The 19534-nt window shown below is 43.5% G+C and overlaps 1 protein-coding gene, 1 long non-coding RNA gene and 1 pseudogene across 5 annotated transcripts in view, besides 2 other annotated features; 2 read left to right on the top strand and 1 right to left on the bottom strand.

Annotated features, from left to right (window-relative positions):
- SNRPCP3 (small nuclear ribonucleoprotein polypeptide C pseudogene 3) lies at positions 890-1998 on the top strand (annotated as a pseudogene).
- Positions 1612-18194, bottom strand: ERICH6-AS1 (ERICH6 antisense RNA 1). 2 transcript variants are annotated; one of them, NR_121674.1, is made up of 4 exons: positions 17696-17783; positions 14587-14831; positions 13749-13826; positions 1612-1889 (listed from the first exon to the last, which is right to left on the bottom strand). It is a non-coding gene; the product is annotated as an ERICH6 antisense RNA 1 (long non-coding RNA). The 2 variants fall into 2 exon arrangements; NR_121675.1 differs by lacking the exons at positions 14587-14831; positions 17696-17783 and adding an exon at positions 18091-18194.
- Positions 17643-17732: an enhancer, noted in NCBI's record as "active region_20696". NCBI's record gives its function as "activates an Ori minimal core promoter by ATAC-STARR-seq in GM12878 lymphoblastoid cells {active_cell/tissue: GM12878}" and the evidence as "EXISTENCE:reporter gene assay evidence [ECO:0000049][PMID:35858748]".
- The window catches only part of ERICH6 (glutamate rich 6), a 44036-nt gene continuing 42339 nt past the window's right edge, over positions 17838-19534 (top strand). For 2 of the 3 annotated variants that reach the window (XM_005247120.4, NM_152394.5), the window contains exon 1: positions 17838-18262. In XM_005247120.4, coding sequence (XP_005247177.1) covers positions 17860-18262 — 403 coding nt within the window. In that variant the 5' untranslated portion in view covers positions 17838-17859. The remainder of the gene's footprint in view (positions 18263-19534) is intronic. The other variant, NM_001308234.2, reaches the window with a different exon arrangement.
- Positions 17883-17962: an enhancer, noted in NCBI's record as "active region_20695". NCBI's record gives its function as "activates an Ori minimal core promoter by ATAC-STARR-seq in GM12878 lymphoblastoid cells {active_cell/tissue: GM12878}" and the evidence as "EXISTENCE:reporter gene assay evidence [ECO:0000049][PMID:35858748]".

The following is a 19534-nucleotide window of genomic DNA, read 5'->3' as shown; positions in this document are numbered from 1 at the left end:
TGGAGTGAACAGCACGTGAGGAAATGGTTATGTGACATCTTTATGGCAGGCACATACAGGCAGGATTTTTTAAAATGCCGCAGCTATCCTTCCAGTAGGAATACTCATCCGATAGAGTAATAATACTTCCCTCCTATAGGAGAATACTACAAGACACTATATTAAAGGAAGACATTTCACTTTCCTTTGATACTAGACATCTTCTATCTTCTTGTCTGAATTTCAAGTGTGCTGATGCCGATTTTCTTCATTGCAATTGCATGCTTCCCTCTAGTGTTCGTCTATATTATTACACCCTGTTGTAATAGGTTGAAGATGGAGGGGAGGGAGGTCTGGGGGAAAGTAAATGTATAGGGCATGGGATAGAACTGTCGAAAGCATGCAAACAATAGCCACTTAAATGGTGAAACATAATCAATGGTCCAATTTTTTCTGTAACAATAAAAAATGTTCTTGTTTTGGGTCGGAATAACGACAGCTAATATTTATTTATCATGTGCCAGGCACAATGCTAAGAGCATTGCAGGTATTAAATCATTTAATCCAATAGAAGAAATAAGACGTAGTGTTTCATAGATCACTAGGGTGATTATAGTTTAGAATAACCTATTGTATATTTCAAAATAGCTAAGAGAATAATACAAATGTTTCCAGCAAAAAGGAAGGACAAGTATTTAAGGTGGTGGCTGTCCCAATTACACTGATTTGTTCTTAACAAGTTATATAAATATATTAAATTATCATATGTACCCCCAAAACACATATATCTATTATGTATCAATAAAAAATAAAATTCAAAAAAATTTCATCCAACAATCCAAAGAGGGAAGAACTATTAGCTGCTCTGCGCATGTGCAGTGCTTCAATGTCACATCAAAACAAAGCAAAATCAGGGAAGAGAGTGGTTAACGGGCTACAGAGCAACATGCCTAAGTTTTGTTGTGACTTCTGCAATACATACCTCACCCACGACTCTCCATCTGTGAGAACCTACCATTGCAGTGGAAGGAAACACAAAGAGAATGTGAAAGACTACTACCAGAAATGGATAGAAGAGCAGGCTCGGAGCCTGGCTGACAGAACAAAGACTGCATCTCAACAAGGAAGAACACCTCCTACTCTGTTCTCTGTTCCTCCTCCTGCAGGAGCGATGATCCAACCTCCCCCCAGTCTCTTCCTGTTCCTCACCAGGTATGATGCCAGCACCCCAGCTGGGGGGCCCTCCCATGATGCCAATGATGGCCCCCCCCTCCTCCTGGATGATGCCAATGGGATGTGCTCCTGGAATGAGGCTGCCCATTGGAGGTGATATCATTTGGCTCTGTGTCCCCACTCAGATCTCACCTTGAGTTGTAATAATCTTCACATGACATGGGAGGGACACGGTGGGAGGTAATTGAATCATGGGGGTGGGTTTTTCTCATGCTGTTCTCGCGATAGTGAATAAGTCTCATGAGATCTGATGGTTTTATAAAGGGGACTTCCCCTGCACACGCTCTCTTGCCTGCTGCCATGTAAGATGTCCCTTTGCTCTTCCTTTGTCTTCCGCCATGATTGTGAGTACTCCTTAGCCATGTGGAACTGTGAGTCCATTAAACCTCTTTCCTTTATAAATTATCCAGTCTCAAGTTGTCTTTATTTGCAGCATGAGAACAAACTAACACAGGAGGCCACATGCCAATGATGCCTGGGCCCCCAGTGATGAGTCCTCCCACCCTCCCACAATGGTGCCCACTTGGACCCAAATGACTCGACCAGACAGATAAGAGTAGAGGGGAGGCCTCTTTAGATCAGTTTTATATTACTTGTTCTGCTTCACAAGGAGATCATGGTGCTGTGACTCTGGGTATTTTCTTAATAGCATGACAAAGAAGACTTGCTCCTCCTTCCTATCAAAGAGAGAATAGTATTAGACGGGAGAAGTGGGACCAGAAAAAGTGCAGTTTTCATTTGTATTGTGAAATGTGAAAATAAAATTATCGACTCTATCAGTTAAAAAAAAGAAAAGCAAAATCAAGGGGCATATGATGGACAGAGAAAGGAATATCAGAATGAAGATACACGCAGATGGCAGGGTCAGTGCTCTATACTGCTGTTACATTAACTGTTGTTAATAATATCTGGGTGGGGAGCTTTCAATTTACCCTCAAAAGTAAACCATTTCCTTTCCTTTTTAAAAAACAACTTTTTTAGGATATAGTTCACATACCATACAATTCACCCACTTGAAGTGTACCATTCAGTGGTGTTTAGTATGTTCACAGAGATGTGTAAGAACACCACAATCAATTCTAGATCATGTTCATCACCCCTAAAAGAAATCACACACCCATCAGCAGTCACCGCCCATTTCCCCAAACTCCACCGATTCTAGAAAATCATGACTCTACTTTCTTTACAGATTTGCCTGTTTTGCCTATTGTATATTTCATACAAATAGGATCACACAATACATACATGGTCCTTTGTGACTGGCTGCTTTTCTTTAACATAATGTTTTCAAGGTTCATCCACGTTGTAGCATATATAAGTAATTCATTTATTTTTATCACCAAGTAATATTCCATTGTAAGGACACACTACATTTTAATTATCCATTTATCAGTGTCTGAACTTTAGTAATTTCCTCAGAAGACATAATTTTTTTTATTTTTTTTATTTTTTTTTGAGATGGAGTTTCACTCTTGTTGCCCAGGCTGGAGTTCAATGGCGAGATCTCGGCTCACCACAACCTCTGCCTTTCGGGTTCAAGCGATTCTTCTGCCTCCACTTCCCGAGTAGCTGGGACTACAGGAATGCACCACCATGCCCGGCTAATTTTGTATTTTTAGTAGAGACGGGGTTTCTCCATGTTAGTCAGACTGGTCTCGAACTCCCAACATCAGCTGATCCACCCACCTCAGCCTCCCAAAGTGCTGGGATTACAGGCATGAGCCACCAAGCCTGGCCTGACATAATCACTTTCAAATTGATCTGTCCTTGTTTTTAATTCCATTCTATAGCTAATACAGGTATTCGGTTACTTAAAAAATTCAGTCTCTTAAAATTAAAAAAGGGGGCCGGGAGCGGTGGCACACGCCTGTAATCCCAGCACTTTGGAAGGCCGAGGCAGGTGGATCATGAGGTCAGGAGATTGAGACCATCCTGGCTAACATGGTGAAACCCCGTCTGTACTAAATATACAAAAAAATTAGCCGGGCGTGGTGGCGGGCGCCTGTAGTCCCAGCTACTCGAGAGGCTGAAGCAGGAGAATGGCATGAAGCCAGGAGGCAGAGCTTGCAGTGAGCCGAGATCGCGCCACTGCACTCCAGCCTGGGTGACAGAGCGAGACTCCGTCTCGAAAAAAAAATAATAATAATTAAAAAAGGGAATCAATTAAACAAATTATGCTCTATCTTGTCCTGAAGAACCAAGACCTACCTATATTCATAAAATTCTCATTAAAGTATGAATTAAAAGCTATAAAAATAATATGCTGCACACATCTTTCTGAAGTAAGCACACAGTGAAATCTGCTAATCAGTGATTCTTCAAGTGAGGAGCTTTAACTGGCTTTGCAGGATATTCTATTGGGATTAACAAGGGAGAAAGAAAGCAGGTATTAAGAAATCAAGAAGCGAAGTGATTATGTTCATCCATGTTAAGGAGTTTACCTAGACTTCAATGATCCCCTCAATAATACAGTGGTGAAGGATTCTAGAATCCCACAGCTGAAAATGTAGAATTCGATTATATTATTGTTATACACATTCCTTTTCATCAACTCGTAGAAGCAAATCCAATACAAGCTAATTGAGCACAAGATACGGTGTTCTTAAAGTTTGATCCCTGAAGCAGTTGTATCAGCATCATTTGGAAAATTGTTAGAAATAAAAATTTTCAGGCCGGGCGCGGTGGCTCATGCCTGTAATCCCAGCACTTTGGGAGGCTGAGGTGGGCGGATCACGAGGTCAGGAGATCGAGACCATCCTGGCTAACATGGTGAAACCCCATCTGTACTAAAAATACAAAAAAAAAAAATTAGCCAGGTGTGGTGGCGTGTGCCTGTAGTCCCAGCTACTTGGGAGGCTGAGGCAGGAGAATGGCATGAACCAGGGAGGCGGAGCTTGCAGTGAGCCGAGATCGCACCACTGCGTTCCAGCCTGGGCAACAGAGCAAGACTCCGTCTAAAAAAAAAAAAAAAAGAAAAAGAAATAAAAATTCTCAGATCTGTCCCAGACCTACTGAATCAAAAATCCAGGGGAGCCCAGGTGCAGTGACTCACACCTGTAATCCAGCACATTGAAGGCCACGACAGGAGAATCAGTTGAGGCCAACAGTTTGAGGCTAACCTGGGCAACAACATAGGAAGACCCCATCTCTCAAAAAAAAAAAAAAAAATTAGCCAGGCATGGTGGTATGCACCTGTAGTCCTAGCTACTCAGGAGACTGAGGTAGGAGAATCACTTGAGCCCAGGAGTTCAAGGTTATAGTGAGCTATGAAAGTGCCACTGCACTCCAGCATGGGCAACGGAGCAAGACCCAGTCTCAAAAAAAAAAGTCCAGGGGGATAACACTCAGCAATCTATCTATCTATGTGTGTGTGTGTGTGTGTGTGTGTGTGTGTGTGTGTGTGTGTGTGTTTGTGTGTGTGTGTGTGTGTATCTATCTATCTATATACTATATACTATCTATCTATATCTATAGATAGATAGAAAACCATACCTATCTATGGTTTTCTGTTCTTGTGTTAGTTTTCTGAGAATGATGGTTTGCAGCTTCATCCATGTCCCTGCAAAGGAGATGAACTCATCCTTTTTATGGCTGCATAGTATTCCATGGTGTATATGTGCCGCATTTTCTTTATCCAGTCTATCATTGATGGGCATTTGGGTTGGTTCCAAGTCTTTGCTATTGTGAACAGTGCTGCAATAAACATACGTGGGCATGTGTCTTTATAGCAGAATGATTTCTAATCCTTTGGATATATACCCAGTAATGGGATTGCTAGGTCAAACGGTATTTCTGATTCTAGATCCTTGAGGAATCGCCACACTGTCTTCCACAATGGTTGAACTAATTTACACTCCCACCAACAGTGTAAAAGTGTTCCTATTTCTCCACGTCCTCTCCAGCATCTGTTGTTTCCTGACTTTTTAATGATCACCATTCTAACAATGGGGTTTTCTAAATATACAATCATGTCATCTGCAAACAGAGACAATTTGACTTCCTTTCTTCCTATTTTAATACCCTTTATTTCTTTCTCTTGCCTGATTGCCCTGGCCAGAACTTCCAATACTATGTTGAATAGGAGTGGTGAGAGAGGGCATCCTTGTCTTGTGCCAGTTTTCAAAGGGAATGCTTCCAGGTTTTGCCCATTCAGTATGATATTGGCTGTGGGTTTGTCATAAATAGCTCTTATTATTTTGAGATATGTTCCATCAGTACCTAGTTTATTGAGAATTTTTAGCATGAAGGGCTGTTGAATTTTGTCGAAGGCCTTTTCTGCATCTATTGAGATAATCATGTGGTTTTTGTCACTGGTTCTGTTTATGTGATGGATTACATTTATTGATTTGCATATGTTGAACCAGCCTTGCATCCCAGGGATGAAGCCAACTTGGTCATGGTGAATAAGCTTTTTGATGTGCTGCTGGATTCTGTTTACCAATAATTTTTTTGAGGATTTTCACATTAATGTTCATCAGGGATATTGGCCTAGACTTCAATGATCCCCTCAATAATACAATAGTGAAGGATTCTAGAATCCTGCAGCTGAAAATGTGGAGTTCAATTATATTATTGTTATACACATTCCTTTTCATCAACTGATAGAAGCAAATCCAATACAAGCTAATTGAGCACAAGATTCAGTGTTCTTAAAGTTTGATCCCTGAAGCCTGTTAAAGTTTTCTTTTTTTGTTGTGTCTGCCAGGTTTTGGTATCAGGATGATGCTGGCCTCATAAAATGAGTTAGGGAGGATTCTCCCTTTTTCTATTGTTTGAAATAGTTTCAGAAGGAATGGTACCAGCTCCTCTTTGTACCTCTGGTAGAATTTGGCTGTGAATCCATCTAGTCCTGGACTTTTTTTGGTTGGTAGGCTATTAATTACCACCTCAATTTCAGAACTTGTTATTGGTCTATTCAGGGATTCGACTTCTTCCTGTTTTAGACTTGGGAGGGTGTATGTGTCCAAGAATGTATCCATTTCTTCTAGATTTTCTAGTTTATTTGCATAGAGGTGTTTATAGTATTCTCTGATGGTAGTTTGTATTTCTGTGGGACCAGTGGTGATATCCTCTTTATCATTTTTTATTGCGTCTATTTGATTCTTCTCTCTTTTCTTCTTTATTAGTCTGGCTAACTGTCTATCTATTTTGTTGATCTTTTTAAAAAACCAGCTCCTGGATTCATTGATTTTTTGAAGGGTTTTTCATGTCTCTATCTCCTTCAGTTCTTCTCTGATCTTAGTTATTTCTTGTCTTCTGCTAGCTTTTGAATTTTTTTGCTCTTGCTTCTCTAGTTCTTTTAATTGTGATGTTACAGTGTCAATTTTAGATCTTTCCTGCTTTCTCTTGTGGGCATTTAGTGCTACAAATTTCCCTCTAAACACTGCGTTAAATGTGTCCCAGAGATTCTAGTACATTGTGTCTTTGTTCTCATTGGCTTCAAAGAACTTATTTATTTCTGCCTTAATTTCATCATTTACCCAGTAGTCATTCAGGAGCAGGTTGTTCAGTTTCCATGTAGTTGTGCAGTTTTTAGTGAGTTTCTTAATCCTGAGTTCTAATTTGATTGCACTGTGGTCTGAGAGACTGTTTGTTATGATTTCCATTCTTTTGCATTTGCTGAGGAGTGTTTTACTTCCAATTATGTGGTCAATTTTAGAATAAGTGTGATGTGGTACTGAGAAGAACGTATATTACGTTGAGTTGGAGTGGAGACTTCTGCAGATGTCTCTTAGGTCCACTTGGTCCAGAGCTGAGTTCAAGTCTTGAATATTCCTTGTTAATTTTCTGTGTCGTTGATCTAATATTGACAGTGGGGTGTTGAAGTCTCCTGCTATTATTGTGTGGGAGTCTAAGTCTCTTTTTAGGTCTCTAATAACTTGCTTTATGAATCTGGGTGCTCCTGTATTGGGTGCATATATATTTGGGATAGTTAGCTCTTCTTGTTGCATTGATCCCTTTACCGTTATGTAATGCCCTTCTTTGTCTCTTTTGATCTTTGTGGGTTTAAAATTTGTTTCATCAGAGACTAGGATTGCAACCCCTGCTTTTTTTTTTGCTTTCCATTTGCTTGGCAAATATTCCTCCATCCCTTTATTTTGAGCCTATGTGTGTCTTTGCACATGAGATGGGTCTCCTCAATGCAGCACACTGATGGGTCTTGACTCTTTATCCAATTTGCCAGTCTGTGTCTTTTAATTGGGGCACTTTGCCTGTTTACATTTAAGGTTAATATTGTTATGTGTGAATTTGATCCTGTCATTATGATGCTAGCTGGTTATTTTGACGTTAGTTGATGCAGTTTCTTCATAGTGTTGATGTTCTTTACTTGGTATGTTTTTGCAGTGGCTGGTACTGGTTGTTCCTTTCCATGTTTAGTGCTTCCTTCAGGAGCTCTTGTAAGGCAGGCATGGTGGTGACAAAATCTCTCAGCATTTGCTTGTCTGTAAAGGATTTTATTTCTCCTTCACTTATGAAGCTTAGTTTGGCTGGATGTGAAATGCTGGGTTGAAAATTCTTTTCTCTAAGGATTCTTTTATTTAAGCATGTTGAATATTGGCCCCCCCTCTTCTGGCTTGTAGGATTTCTGCAGAGAGATCTGCTGTTAGTCTGATGGGCTTCCCTTTGTGGGTAACCTGACCTTTCTCTCTGGCTACCCTTAACATTTTTTCCTTCATTTCAACCTTGGTGAATCTGATGATTATGTGTCTTGGGGTTGCTCTTCTCGAGGAGTATCTTTGTGGTGTTCTCTGTATTTCCTGAATTTGATTGTTGGTCATCTTGCTAGGTTGGGGAAGTTCTCCTGGATAATATCCTGAAGAGTGTTTTCCAACTTGGTTCCATTCTCCCCCGTCACTTTCAGGTATACCAATCAATGTAGATTTGGTCTTTTCACATAGTCCTATATTTCTTGGATTTCATAGTCCCATATTCCTTTTCATTCTTTTTTCTCTAATCTTGTTTTCTCACTTGATTTCATTAAGCTGATCTTCAGTCTCTGATATCCTTTCTTCCGTTTGATCAATCTGGCTATTAATACTTACGTATGTTTCACGAAGTTCTCGTGCTGTGTTTTTCAGCTCCATCAGGTCATTTATGTTCTTCTCTAAACCGGTTATTCTAGTTAGCAATTCCTCTAACCTTTTTTTAAGGCTCTTAGCTTCCTTGCATTGGGTTGGAATATGCTCCTTTAGCTCGGAAGAGTTTGTTATTACCCACCTTCTGAAGCCTACTTCTGTCAATTAATCAAACTCATTCTCCATCCAGTTTTGTTCCCATGCTGGCAAGGAGTTGTGATCCTTTGGAGGAGAAGAGGCGTTCTGGGTTTTGGAATTTTCAGCCTTTTTGCACTGGTTTCTCCCCATCTTCATGGATTTATCTACCTTTGGTCTTTGATGTTGGTGACATTTGGATGAGGTCCCTGAGTGGACATCCTTTTTGTTGATGTTGATGCTATTCCTTTCTGTTTGTTAGTTTTCCTTATAACAGTCAGGCCCCTCTGCTGCAGGTCTGCTGGAGTTTGCTGGAGATCCACTCCAGACCCTGTTTCCCTGGATATCATCAGCGGAGGCTGCAGAACAGCAAAGATTGCTGACTGTTCCTTCCTCTGGAAGCTTCGTCCCAGAGGGGCACCCGCCAGATGCCAGCCAGAGCTCTCCTGTATGAGGTGTCTGTCAGCCCCTGCTGGGAGGTGTCTACCAGTCAGGAGACACAGGGGTCAGGGAACCACTTGAGGAGGCAGTCTGACCCTTAGCAGAGCTTGAACACTGTGCTGGGAGATCAGCTGCTCTCTTCGGAGCCGTCAGGCAGGGACGTTGAAGTCTGCTAAAGCTGTGCCCACAGCTGCCCCTTACCCAAGGTGCTCTGTCCCAGGGAGGTGGGGGTTTTATCTATAAGTACCTGACTGGGGCTGCTGCCTTTTTTTCAGAGATGCCCTGCCCAGAGAAGAGGAATCTAGAGAGGCAGCCTGGCTACAGCGGCTTTGCTGAGCTGCGGTGGGCTCCACCCAGTCCAAATTTCCTGGTGGCTTTGTTTACACTGTGAGGGGAAAACCGCCTACTCAAGCCTCAGTAATGGTGGACGCTCCTCCCCTCACCAAGCTCCAGCATCCCAGGTTGACTTCAGACTGTTGTGCTGGCAGCAAGAATTTCAAGCCAGTGGATCTTAGCTTGCTGGGCTCTGTGGGGGTGGGATCCGCTGAGCTAGTCCACTTGGCTCCACGGCTTCAGCCCCCTGTCCAGGGGAGTGAACGGTTCTCTCTTGCTGGCGTTCCAGGCGCCACTGGGGTATGAAAAAAAAAAAAAACTCTTGCAGCTAGCTCAGTGTCTGCCCAAATGACTGCCTAGTTTTATGCTTGAAACCCAGGGCTCTGGTGGCCTAGTCACTGGAGGGAATCTCCTGCTGTGCGGGTTGCGAAGATCATGGGAAAAGCATAGAATCTGGGCCAGAGTGCACCGTTCCTCACAGCACAGTCCCTCACAGCTTCCCTTGGCTAGGGGAGGGAGTTCCCTGACCCCTTATACTTCTCGGGTGAGGCAATGCCCCACCCTGCTTCAGCTCACCCTCCGTGGGCTGCACCCACTGTTTAACCAGTCTCAATGAGATGAACTGGGTACCTCAGTTGGAAATGCAGAAATCACCCACCTTCTGTGTTGATCTCCCTTGGAGCTGCAGACTGGAGCTGTTCCTATTCAGCCATCTTGCCAGCAATCATTTTTATTTTTTTATTTTTTTATTTTTTTGTGTGTGATGGAGTCTTGCTCTGTCAGGTAGGCTGCAATGCAGTGGCGCAATCTCAGCTCAGTGCAACCTCCGCCTCCCAAGTTCAAGTAATTCTTCTGCCTCAGCCTCCCAAGTAGCTGGGACTACAAGTGCATGCTGCCATGCCCAGCTAATTGTTTTTTAATTTTAGTAGATACAGGGTTTCACTGTATTGCCCAGGCTGGTTGCAAACTCTGAACTCAGGCAATCCACTTGCCTCGGCCTCCCAAAGTGCTAGGATTACAGGCGTGAGCCACTGCGCCTGGCCAGCAATCTGTATTTTAATAAACCTTCCACATAATTCTGATGCATGCTCTAGTTTGACAGCCACCACTTGAATTCATCCTCCCTTAACACACAGAAGTATCAGGTGTCCCTCCTCATGTATGAAGCCATATTGATGTCTCTCCTGGGCTGGGCTTGTCCCATTAGCCCATTGTGGGAATTAGATATAATTCTCTACCTCTCTTAACCAGGGTCCATGATGGAGACTGCAAATTGTTCCCCAGGGTCTATTCTACTCTTCTTCCTACCATTACAGTCACTGGCCACCCCTACACGCTGTCACAACTTTTAGCAAGTCATACAGTTTCCCAGCAAGAAGTGACATGTCCAATCCTCTCTGGCCTCTAGCTATGGCTATGCAAATAATTGGTTTGGACCAAGAATGTGTGAATGGAAGAGATGCATTCAACTTCCAGATTATATTCTTAAAAACACACAAGCAAGCCAGCAAAAATCTGGCTGCCCTCCTCTTCCTCTTTCCTTCCCAACTGGAATATTGATATGGTATTTAGTGTGAGGGTGAGAACCTCATCTTAGGGGATGGTGGTGCAACAAGATAGATGAAACCTAAGTCCCTGGATGCTTGTAGATCAGAGCTGCCCCAATAACATAAACTATCTTCTTCTGGACTACTATGGGAGAGAAATCAATGCACTGCAATCTTGTTGGAACTAATGTATTTTTCTTTGTTACAACAATCTAGCCTATACCTTCTTTAGAAGACATCTTCTTTATAAGATGAAGGTTCCTTCCTAGAACTTCAACCCTATATCCTTTCCTAAGGTTGAGATTTCATGCACTCATTCCCATAAACCTACCTGTCTTAGTCCATTTGTGCTTCAAAAACAAAATACCACAGACTGGGTAATTTATAAACAACGGAAACGTTACACAGTTCTGAGGACTGGGAAGTCCAAGACCAAGGTGCCAGCAGGTTTAGTGCCTGATGAGGGCCCAGTCTCTCTGCTACCAAGATGGTGCCTTGTTGCTGTGTCCAGAGGTGACAAACACTGTGTCCTCACATGGCAGATGTGTAAAAGAGATGCTAGTTCTCTCAAGCCCTTTTGTAAGGTCATTAATCCCATTCCTGAGGGCTCTGCCCGCATGACTGAATCACTCCCTAAAGGCCTCCATCTCTTAATACTCTCACATTGATGACTAAGTTTCAACACATGAACTCTGCGGCACATTCAGACCACAGCATCACCTTTTATATATTTCCCCATCAAAGACAGTTGCCACTTCTACTTCCAGTAATGATGAGCTATGTAAGTCTGACTAATTTTCCCACTGAGGACATCTACACAAGCCAGACAAATGTATTTGGTGAAAACTCATAAAGGCACAGAAGAACTAGCAAGGCACTTTAAAATAACTAGGCTAAGATAATAAAGAAGAGGAGAATCCAGAGAGGTGTTTTGGGCTTGCTTTTTCCCTGAAGCATTTGCCAATTCTAGAACAGGTAACTGAGAGTCTGAATAAGATTTCTGATGATCTTGACTGGCTAAGAAAATGGAAAAATGAGAGTCAAAGCCAACCAAGGGTGGAAGAGAGGTGCTGGTAACTCCCCACTTGAGACTGGGGTTCTGAAGGGCTGCATTTTAAGCATATTTTAAGCATAAAGGCTAAGTAGAAATAGAATATCCTTGTAGGGACACAGTCTAGTTTTGAATCATGGTAATCACTGAAATTGGATTAAGATGATCCTGGATTATGAAGCCTCCTAGGTGCCTTCCTAAAGCAAATATAATTCTTTCCGGAGGAACTTAATCCTGAACCTCAAATTTTTCCACCATTTTTTTTTCAAATAACATCTGGCATAGGATAAAAAATAACCAAGTATTTAAGGAGACAAGACTACATGAATAGTAATAACAATAACAAAATATTAAGAGCAAGGATAAAGTGGATGTCACTGCTAATTAAGAGAGAGAAATGGGCATTCAGAAATCACCTTCTGAAAAGAGCTTGTCGGGAGAAAAGAATATGATGTTTAGAAAGATGCCCCTCATAGCTAATGCAACCAGGCACTTTTCTTTTTTTCTGTTGCCCAGGCTGGAGTGCAGGGGTGCAATCACAGCTCACTGCAGCCTCAACCTCCTGGGCTCAAACGATTCTCCCACCTTGGCCTCCCAAAGTGCTAGGATTACAGGTGTGAGCCACCGCGCCCAGCTTTAGGAACATTTTTAATTAGCCATCATCAAGGCTACAGTTCTTTAAAGTTGTTCTTCCACCATGAATCAGAACAATGCTTAACTAAGGCATTCTGAAGAGATACTGTGCTTTCTTCATGGATGTGCTAGGGAGCTATCTATAGCCCATTCAAAATATTCTATATGCAAATAAGAAGTTTAAGCCGGACAAAAATTCACTTTCCTGCCTTTCTCAAAGTGGTGGTATTCATGGCAGTCTTTGAGGAAAAATGGAAAACAGAAAAGGAAACAAAAAGAACAAAGCTGGAGGCATCACACTACCTGACTTCAAAATATACTACAAAGCTGTAGTAACTAAAACAACATGATACTGACAAAAAACCAGACACACAGACCAATGGGACAGAACGGAGAACACAAAAATAAATTCACATACTTAGAGCCAACTGATTTTCGACAAAGGTTCCAAGAACACACAATGGAGAAAAGACAGTCTCATCAATACATAGTGCTGGAAACTGGATATCCACATGCAGAAGAATAAAGCTAGATCCCTATCTTTTACCATATATAAAAATCAAATCAAAATGGATTAAAGACTTAAGTGTAAGACCTGAAACAATAAAACTAGTGGAAGAAAACACAAGGGAAATGCTTCATGACATTGTTCTGAGCAAGGATTTTTAAAATAAGACCCCAAAAGCACAAGAAACAAAAAGAAAAATAGACAAATAGAATTATTTCAAACTAAAAAGCTTCCGCACAGCAAAGGAAACAATCAACGGAGTGAAGAGACAAGTTGCAGAACAGGAGAAAATATTTGCAAATCATACATCTGACAAGGGGTTCATATTCAGAATATATGAGGAACTCAGAATACTCAAAAGCTAAATAATAATAATGATAATAATCTGCCAGAGTATGGTGGCTCACAGCTGTATTGCCAGAACTTTGGGAGGCCAAGGTGGGAGACTCACTTGAGGCCAGGAGTTCAAGACCAGCCTGTGCAAAATAGCAAGACTCTGTCTCTACAGAAAACTAAAAATTAGCCAGGCATGATAGTGCACACCTGTAGTCTTAGCTACTGGGGAGGCTGAGGTGGAAGAATCGCTTGAACCTAGGAGTTTGAGGCTGCAGTGAGCCATGATTGCACCACTGCACTCTAGCCTAGACAATAGAGCAAGAATCTGTCTCAAACAAAGAAAAAGTCGTGTATAGATACAATGGAATACTATTCAGCCATAAAAAGGAATGAAATCCTGTCATATACAACAATGTGGATGAACCTGGAGGATATTATGTAATGTGAAATAAGCCAGGCTATAGAAAGACAAATACCTCATGATCTTGATCATATGTGGAATCCAAAGAAGTTCACCTCATAGAAGTATTGAGTAGAACAGTGGTTACCAGAGGCTGCGGAGGGGAGGATGGAGAGAAAATAAAGAGAAATTGGTCAACGAGTACAAAGTTACAGTTAGATAGGAGGAATAAAGTCTGGTATTCTACTGCACACTAGGCTGACTATGGTTAACAATATTACATATTTCAAAATAGCTAGAAGAGATAATTTTGAATGTTCTCATCACAAAGAAATGATTATATAGTTTGGCTGTGTCCCCACCCAAATCTCATCTTGAATTGTAGTTCCCATAATCCCGTGTCGTGGGAGAAACCCATAGAAGGTAATTGAATCGTGGGGGCAATTACCCCCATGCTGCTGTTCTTATGATAGTGAGTGAGTTCTTACGAGATCCGATGGTTTTATAAGGGGCTTTCCCCACTTTTGCTCGGCACTTCTCCTTCCTGCCATCATGTGAAGAAGAATGTGTTTGCTTTCCCTTCTGCCATGATTGTAAGTCTCCTGAGGCCTAATTAAAGCTTTTTCCTTTATAAGTTACCCAGCCTCAAGTATGTCTTTATTAGCAGTGTGAGAAGGAACTAATACAAACGATAAATGTAAGAGATGATGGATATGCTAAATATCCTGATTTGATTTTCACACAATGTATCACATATTGAAACATCACACTGTATCCCATGAATATGTACAATTATGATGTGCCAATTAAAAACAAAATTAAAGAAAGGCAAACAAAATATCAAATGATGACAATAGGGAACAATTACATAACATTATATACTTGAGATAGGAAATTTTTTAAAAATCCATTACCTCTTGATATGGTTTGGCTCTGTTTCCTGACCCAAATCTCATCTTGAATTGTAATCCCCACATGTTGAGGGCAGGACCTGGTGGGAGGTGATCAGATCATGGGGGTGGTTTCCCTCATGCGGTTCTCGTGATAGTGAGGGAGTTCTCAATGAGATCTGATGGTTTAAAAGTGGCAGTTTCTGGCTGGGCATGGTGGCTCACACCTGTAATCCCAGCACTTTGGGAGGCCAAGGCGGGTGGATTACCTGAGGGCAGAAGATCGAGACCATCCTGACTAACACGTGAAACCTCGTCTCTACTAAAAATACAAAAAATTAGCCAGGCGTAGTGGCGGGCGCCTGTAGTCCCAGCTACTCGGGATGCTGAGGCAGGAGAATGACGTGAACCCGGGAGGCCAAGCTTGCAGTGAGCCAAGATTGCGCCACTGCACTCCAGCCTGGGCAACAGAGTGAGACTCTGTCTCCAAAAAAAAAAAAGAAAAAGTGGCAGTTTCCCCTGCACTCTCTCTCTCCTGCCAACAAGTAAGATGTGCCTTGCTTCCCCTTCACCTTCAGCCATGATTGTAAGTTTCCTGCGGCCTCCCCAGTTATATGGAACTGAGTCAATTAAACCTGTTTATTTTATATATTACTCAGCCTCAGGCAATTCCTTATAGCAGTGTGAAATCGAACTAATATACCTTTGAAGCACTCAATACATTAGAAACATTTTCTAAACAGAGTTATGTGGTCCTAAAATAATAATAATAAAATACAAAATCAGTCCTCAGAAAATAGGCCAGACAGGATGACTCACACCTATAATCCCAGCACTTTGGGAGGCCAAGGTAGGAGGATTGAGTCCAGGAGTTCAAGACCAGCCTGGGTAACACATTGAGATGCCATCTTAGGAAAAAAAAAAAAGAAGAAGAAAATAAACAATAATTAAATTTTATCTCAAAATAGCCCCATAAATTAAGTGGAAAGGTACTGATATTTCCATTTAACACACCAAGAAACTGAGGCTCAGTAACCCCAAAGTCACAGTTAGTCAGGGCTGGTGCCTGGTTCTCAAATCTCAAGTTCCTGAGTCAAGCTAGACACCAGGAATGGAGAAGGGGAAAATATAAACTGACCCAGCATCATATTATCTCTGAACGGCCAAAACAAGAGTGGCATCAACTCATGAGAAAATAAGGGACTGTTCTTTCCGTAGTAAGTAGATCCAAGGGAAGGAGATTCCATAAAATGTTCAAAAAAGGTCTTAAATAGAGGGTCTAAACAAGGAGTACTTAAACAAATTAATTCACCACACAATTGAGAAAATGCCAGGGCAGTCACAGAACTGAGCTACAGCAGGCACAAGCGGAGTAAGCACAAGCACTGTCACCCTTGCTGTCTGCCAGCCCCGTGTCTCATCCCCACATCCTGACTTCCAGTCTGCTCTCTGAGGACCCTGGTTGAATTTCCTAACTTCTAAGATAGCTTCCAGCATCAAACTGTTAGTATTGTCCAGAAAAGAAATGAGCTTTTTCTTATTTTCTCTTTTTAAATTACACTTACCTTATTTGTACCTCAATATCTGTACACATAGTTCCCTGTCCTGACCCTCCTTTCCTGCCGTGAGCCTGCTGGAAAGCTTTTCACTTTCCTCTCTGGTCACCACATTTTGCCCTTCCTTTTAAAGCAACTCAGATGTCTCCTCTCATCTGTGCTGCCTGCTCCTTTAGCCTGCAAGAACTCTACTTTCAAAAATATTCCCTAGCCAGGCACAGTAGCTCACGTCTGTAATCCTAAGAACTTTGGGAGGCCCAGATGGGAGGATCTCTTGAGCCCAGGAGCTTGAGACCGAGAGTTTGAGACCAGCCTGGGCAACATAGCAAGACGCCATCTCTACAAAAAGTAGTCCCAGATACTCGGGAGGCTGAGGCGGGAGGATCAGCTTGAGCCGGGAGGAGGAGGTTGCGGTGAGCTGAGATAGCACCACTGCACTCCAGCCTGAGCGACAGGGTAAGACCCTGTCTCAAAATAAATATAATACAGGCCAGGCACTGTGGCTCACGCCTGTAATCCCAGCACTTTGGGAGGCTGAGGCAGGCAGATCACGAGGTCAGGAGATCGAGACCATCCTGGCTAACACGGTGAAACCCCATCTCTACTGAAAATGCAAAAAATTAGCCAGGCGTGGTGGCACGTGCCTGTAGTCCCAGCTACTCGGGAGGCTGAGGCAGGAGAATTGCTTGAACCCAGGAGGCTGAGGTTGCAGGGAGCCGATATGGTGCCACTGCACTCCAGCCTGGGTGACAGAGCGAGACTCCGTCTCAAAATAAATATAATATAATATAATATAATATAATATAATATAATATAATATAATATAATATATAAAATTGGCCAGGCGTGGTGACACACATTTGTTGTCCTTGCCACTTGGGAGACCGAGGTGGGAGGATCACTGGAGCCCAAGAGTTCAGGGCTGAAGTGAACCATGATGCCGCCACTGCACTCCAGCCTGGGTGACAGAGTGACATCCTGTCTCTCAAAAATAAAAAATGTATATATTTTACAAAAATGTAAGTAAATACAAAGTCCCAGAAGGACGCAGGTGGTACCTAGGTGGCCAGATGCTTCAGGACTTTTCTACTCCAGGATGGATAGATGGGCCAAGTAAGAAGCAGGACCCAGATCACAGCAAGGAGCAAAATTTATGGGACGCTAAAAATGTCGCCAATCAAGATTAATTAATATTAATCTAACAATATTTAAGATAACTAACATTTAAGGCAATTTTAATACGCTTATTAATATTTAAAGCTATTTTAAAAATATCCGCAAACGAGGGCCCAAGGGCTGGCGCCTGATTTTGTAAATAAAGTTTCACTGGACGTTCCAGCAAGCATCTGTCTACTCAATAACCAGACTCCAGCATCCGCAATACCAAATGGCACCGTGTGTGTCCGTCGCTAGAAGCCACTTCCTCCACCCAAGTTAAAAAAAAAAAAAAAGGCCCCAAATAAGCTGAGAGACGAAGAAAAGATCGTTTCTCCGCAGGCTGCCAGGGGTTTCAGAGACGCTGAAGAGCAGGGACAGAAAGAAGTCTGCGGTGGCCCCCACCGGCCCTCGGCACCCACATTCTATCCGGCTAACCAGCTCCTGCCGCTTTAAATCCGGGAGGCTCGGTGGCGCAGGGCAAGCAGTTGCCCGGGGAGACCAACGCACAACAGAGGCTCGCGCTCGCGAGAGCCGACCGGGGCCGCGGCCAAAGAGCTGGCTGTAATCCCGCCTCCCGCCAGCCATGGCCCACTTGCGCTCGCCTAGCGGCTTCGGAGACCCGGGGAAGAAGGACCAGAAGGAGTCAGAGGAGGAGTTAGAGGAGGAGGAGGAGGAGGAAGAGGTGGAGGAGGAGGAGGAAGAGGTGGAGGAGGAGGAGGAAGAGGTGGAGGAGGAGGAGGAGGAGGTGGTGGAGGAGGAGTTGGTGGGGGAAGAGCAGGAGTTGGAGGCCCCTGAGACGTTCAGCGAAGAGTACCTCTGGAAGGTCACGGACATCGGTGACTACGACGACGACTTCCCAGACGTGCGCCCCCGCTTAGCCAGCATCGTCAGCCCTAGCCTGACCTCTACGTTCGTGCCCAGCCAGAGCGCGACCAGCACTGAAACGCCGAGCGCAAGCCCACCCTCCAGCACCTCCTCGCATAAAAGTACCGCCCCCGACCCACCCCTTCCTCGAGGGTTTCTCGTCTCCAGGGGGCACCTGGTCCACCCACTCCTGGGTGGTGCCTTCGTCGACCTGCGCGTCGTGCCTGATTTCTAAATGCATGCACCATTCCACACACCTAATCTCTCTCACGCCCTTGTCAGAGACACTGAACCCTTGGCTGAGCTGTTGTGATGAGGCACGATTTAGGATATAGGCGAAACACCATAAAAGTTGAACTTGGGCATGGCTGTATGAAGTGCTTTTTTTTTTTTAGACAAGAGTCTCGCTCTGTCGCCCAGGCTGGAGTGCAGTGGCTGCAGCCTCGACCTCCTGGGCTCAAGCCTCCCACCGCAGCCTCTCGAGTAACTGGAACTACAGGCACACGCCACCACACCCAGCTAATCTGGCGTCTCACTATGTTGCCCAGGCTGCTGGGAGTGCTCATTTTTATAACATTTTTGCGTGCATTCACACCGTGACATCTCTCTCTCTCTCTCTCTCTGTTCCCCCTCCCCTCCCTCTTCCTCCCCTCCCTCTCCCCTCCCCCTCTCTTTCTCTCTCCCTCTCTCTCTCTCTCACAGACACACACACACACACACACACACACTCATATTATTTCCAGAGAAGTGCCTTAAGGGTGCTGTACTACTGAAACAGTCCTGCAAAAAAAAAAAACAACTCTCTTTTGTGTTTAACATCCTGTGCTGAAGCCACTCCAGTCACTTCCTTGAAAAAAGAAGCAGAGAAGTCTTCTAGAGTAGGCTTCTCAAGCTCTAGTGTTGACATTTTGGTCTGGATAATTCTTTGTTGGGGAGGATTGGGGACTGTCCTGTGAATTACAGGATATTTGGCAGCATCCCTGTCCTCTACCCGTGGCTGTGCTAGAAGCACACATCCTTGCGATGATCAAAAATGTCTCCAGGCCGGGCGCGGTGGCTCACGCCTGTGATCCCAGCACTTTGGGAGGCCTAGGCGGGCAGATCACGAGGTCGGGAGATCGAGACCATTCTGGCTAACATGGTGAAACCCCGTCTCTACTAAAAATACAAAAAATTAGCCGGGCGTGGCGGCGTGCGCCTGTAGTCCCAGCTACTTGGGAGGCTGAGGCAGGAGAATAGCGTGAACCCGGGAGGTGGAGCTTGCAGTGAGCCAAGATCGCGCCATTGCACTCCAGCCTAGGCGACAGAGCGAGACTCCGTCTCAAAAAAAAAAAAAAAAAAAAAAAAGTCTCCAGACATTGCCATGTGTTCCTGGGGGGGGTAGAATTGACCTT

Source organism: Homo sapiens, chromosome 3 (assembly GCF_000001405.40).
Source record: "Homo sapiens chromosome 3, GRCh38.p14 Primary Assembly".
Lineage (NCBI taxonomy): Eukaryota > Metazoa > Chordata > Mammalia > Primates > Hominidae > Homo > Homo sapiens.
The sequence above is the reverse complement of the archived record's forward strand: the minus strand, read 5'-3'. Positions and strand labels throughout refer to the sequence as shown.